Raw genomic sequence first — 3958 nt, forward strand, 5'->3', positions numbered from 1 at the left:
TCTGTTGCAAGAGATTGCAATGAGAAAAGAATTTACCGGCCTGCATAATCATAGCAAACAAGGCCTTAGGACCCAATTTCTCTCTCTGTTGGTTGACTGCGCTTTACTTCTGCTCTGCCCTCACTCCTTGATAGATCTTCCCAAGGTGGCATGATGGCTTACATGAGATAATGGAGTTCAGGATGCCTACCCCAAAGACACATTACCCCAAAATATAGGAGCTTGGCATATTGAATATTTTTAAGCTGAAGTAATTTGAGAAACAGTAGGAGGAACTCTCTGACTTTCCCTTGCCCTTCTATCCTGAAGCAGGTTATAGACCTTCAGGTGAGAGGTACCTTACTCTATACCCGGAGGAAAGGAATATCCATATTCCTAAAGATGAAGGGACACCAAAAGAAATATGAATGAACAGGTCTTGCTAAATTTCCCCCAGTTTGTTACTTTTGTCCTATCACATTTTCCCACAACTTTCCTAACTTTCCATGACTTTTCAAACCTAGCATAAAAACACTCAGGTTTGGTCGGGAGCAGTGGCTCACTTCTATAATCCAGCACTTTGGGAGGCCGAGGTGGGTGGATCACTTGAGGTCAGGAGTTCAAGACCAGCCCAGTCAACATGGCAAAACCCCATCTCTACTAAAAATACAAAAAAAAAAAAAAAAATTAGCCGCGCATGGTGGCAGGTGCGTGTAATCCCAGCTACTCCAGGAGGCTGAGGCAGGAGAATCACTTGAACGTGGGAGGTGGAGGTTGCAGTGAGCTGAGACTGCACCGCTGCACTCCAGCCTGAGTGACAGAGCGAGACTCCGTCTTAAAATGACAAATCAAAAAACGCTCAGGTTTAACCACTTCTGATCTTCATTTCCTTGTGAAGACTCCCTTGTCACATAAAATTTACATTAAATAAATTTGTATGCTTTTCTCTTCTTAATCTGCCTTTTGTTACAGAGGCCCCAGCTGAGAACTTAGAAGGATAAAAAGAAATTTTTCCTCCCCTACAGTTTCTGGTGACCACAAAGGGACGGCTGGACACCTCACTCATTTCAGATCCTGCTGATGGGATCCAGGGAAACTGACAAAAGCCAGAAAAAGGTAAGCATTCTCCCAAAGTCAGCTTTCTCAGATCTCTGTTTGTAGCACCCAGTTAAGAGACAAAGGTAAAAATTTCTCCTTGTCACTTTTTCTTTTCCATATTCATATTTGCAGAAGAAAAACTTGCAAACATTAGTTCTTTGGATTATGATTCTTGCACATTTGGCTAACTTGGTTTTGAGGTACATCTTGTTTACTGATTCTTTCCATGCCAGAGACAGCTACTGCTTTCCTAGTTATCTCATTTTGCATCCTGAGAGCTTGGCTTGGCTTTCTGCCTGCCAGGGAAATGTGCAGACAGTCAACCATCAGGTTGTTGGCCCTGAGAATATGGCCTGATGGAAATGTAGGTTGCATCTCATTCTCCGCTAATGTCTTACTGACTGTTGCCAGCCCTCAAGAAGGGCCATCTAAGTCTGTCTTTCTTGTGGCTATCTTTGGGAGTGGTCTGGATCTTGAAAGGCTGCCTTTTTTGCACTCTCTTTGAAGATGACTCTTGCGTCCACGGTTAAGCTATAAAAGTCTTGTTGGTTGTAAGTCATAAAAGGCTTATTGGCTTTTGTTTTGAGTCACTTGAAATAGATACCTTTAGTTTCAAAAAAATTATTTTAAAAAGAAGTTCAGTATTGCCAGAGATATTTACTGTTTGTCCCAGCTAAAACTTGATAATAAGATATTTGAAAGAATTTTTTTTTTAAAGATCTATGGTCAGAAATTGGCCTAATTGGAAGCTGATATTCAGGGCCTAATGGAACCAATTTTGTTTAAGTCTTCTCTGTTTTCTCTGTTTAATCCTGCTCCTCCCATGGGAACTTCTCACTTAACTGAAATCCCCTTCTCAAGCCCCTGCTGACTAGATGTCCACCTCCTTCTTGTTGGCACAATTTTGCTGAGGATAATTTGGAACTCCATTGGCTCCTTGGGGAAACTTAAGATCTCCCAAAACTGGCCCCTCTGAAGTTTCTGCCTTCCCTTTGCTTCTGCTCCTCCTTCATCCTTTTGCCACTTTCAATCTTCCATTCAGTTTCCTGAATCCTTTGATATGTCCCCCTTCAAGCTCCTACCTCCTCCATTCTTCTGTCCATCTCTGCCAGACCTTTTTCCACCCCAGCCCCTCAGTCACTTGAACCTTCAGCTCCTCTGCTCTCAAGAGACTCGAGGGCCCCCAAAAGCAAGTATCTGAGGCTGAAAAGGAAAAAGCCTAATTGGAAATAGTCTATTTTATCCACTCAGATGTGCTTTGAAAATATCCAGATAGAGCCCAGTGTGGTGACACATACCTGAAATCCCAGCTACTTGGGAGGCTGAGGTGGAAGGATGGCTTGAGGTCAGGAGTTCAAGACCAGCTTGGGCAACATAGTAGCTTCCGTCTCTTGAAACACACACACACTCACACACACACATGCACACAGATAACTGCTAGATGTCTTCTAGTCACTTGCCTAGAATGTAGTTCACAGCCTGCATAAGATTACATGTCAGGGCAAATGAGAATTTAAACATATTTTTCCACAAATATTGGTTAAAAAATTCCTGGGGGTGGGGCCAAGAAGGCCAAGTAGAAGCAGTGGCGATCGGAGGTTCCCATTTAAAAGAACCATAATAGCGTGCAAATCCTGCACCAGCAACCGAGGTTCTCTCATTAGAACTGACTAGGTGGCTAGCATGACCCACAGAGAGGAAGGAAGAGCAGTGTGTTGCAGCAGCTCACCTTAGAGCCACACGGGCCGGGGGAGCACCCATCCCCCAGCCAAGGGAGGTGGTGAGCGAGTGTGCTACCCAGCGGGGAAACCGTGCTTTTTCCACGGAACTGTGCAACCCACGGATCGGAAGATCCCACTCATGAACCCATGCCACCGGGGCCTAGGGTCCCAACCATGGAGCCATGCAGATTCTCAACAGCCAGTAAGCTAAAATCTGCTTAAGCCTGCTGAGTTCCTGCGGGGAGGGGCAACCATCACCACAGCTGCGGCTGCCTACTGTCTAAGCCCTTTGAGCTCCTTGGGGGAGGGGCGGCAGCCAGCACTGGGACTGATAACTGCCTAACACGCTAAGCTCCCTGGGCAGGAGTAGGACGCAAGCCATCTCTATAGCTCCAGGCTGCGCTTCACACCGCCCCCACCCCCCCGCCCGGCCCCCGCTGGAGCCAGGGAGGCAGGATGGCTTGCTCCCAAGAGGCGTGCCCCACAACCCAACACACCAGCTGAGGCAGACTATAGCCAGACCGCCTTTTCAGGCCTGACCCTGACCCATCCCTCCTCACTGGGCGGGGCCTTCCTGCAGGAACTCCAGCAACTCCAGCCAGGATCTCAGGGACAGAACTCTGATCTCCCTAGGCTTAAGCCCCTATGGGGAGGATTGGCCACAGTCTCTGCAGACCAGCAGACTTAACCTTTCCTTCTGCTAGTTCTGAGGAATCCAGGCAGCCCAGGCAAGTGGGTTTCCCCCCAGGGAAGCACACTCCCTCCACCAAGGGACAAAGTGCTTCATTAAAAGGGTCCTGTTCCCCATGCCACCCAACTGGGTGAGACACTCCAATAAGGGTTGTCAGACACCCTATACAGGAGTGATCCTACTGGCATCAGGTTGATGCCTCTCGAGGTCAGTGATCCCAGAGGAAGGAGCAGGCACCCATCTTTGCTGTTCTCCAGCCTCACTGAGTGACATCTCCAGGCATGGGAGCGAACCAGATGAATAGGACCTGAAGTGAACCCCTAGCAAACTGCAGCACCCCTACAGAAGAGGGAACTGACCATTGAAAACAAACAAACAGAAAGCAACAACAGCATCAACAACACAAAAAAAAGTGCCCATGAAAACTCCATCCAAGGGTCAGCAGCCTCAAATATCAAAACTAGACAAA

General features: G+C 47.3%; 1 annotated feature.

Annotated features, from left to right (window-relative positions):
* Positions 2879-3406: an enhancer, noted in NCBI's record as "NANOG-H3K27ac-H3K4me1 hESC enhancer chr11:20364173-20364700 (GRCh37/hg19 assembly coordinates)". NCBI's record gives its function as "activates a minimal SCP1, AML or CMV promoter by ChIP-STARR-seq in naive H9 embryonic stem cells {active_cell/tissue: H9 hESC(naive)}" and the evidence as "EXISTENCE:reporter gene assay evidence [ECO:0000049][PMID:30033119]".

The sequence above is a fragment of the Homo sapiens genome, chromosome 11 (assembly GCF_000001405.40).
Source record: "Homo sapiens chromosome 11, GRCh38.p14 Primary Assembly".
NCBI classification, from domain to species: domain Eukaryota; kingdom Metazoa; phylum Chordata; class Mammalia; order Primates; family Hominidae; genus Homo; species Homo sapiens.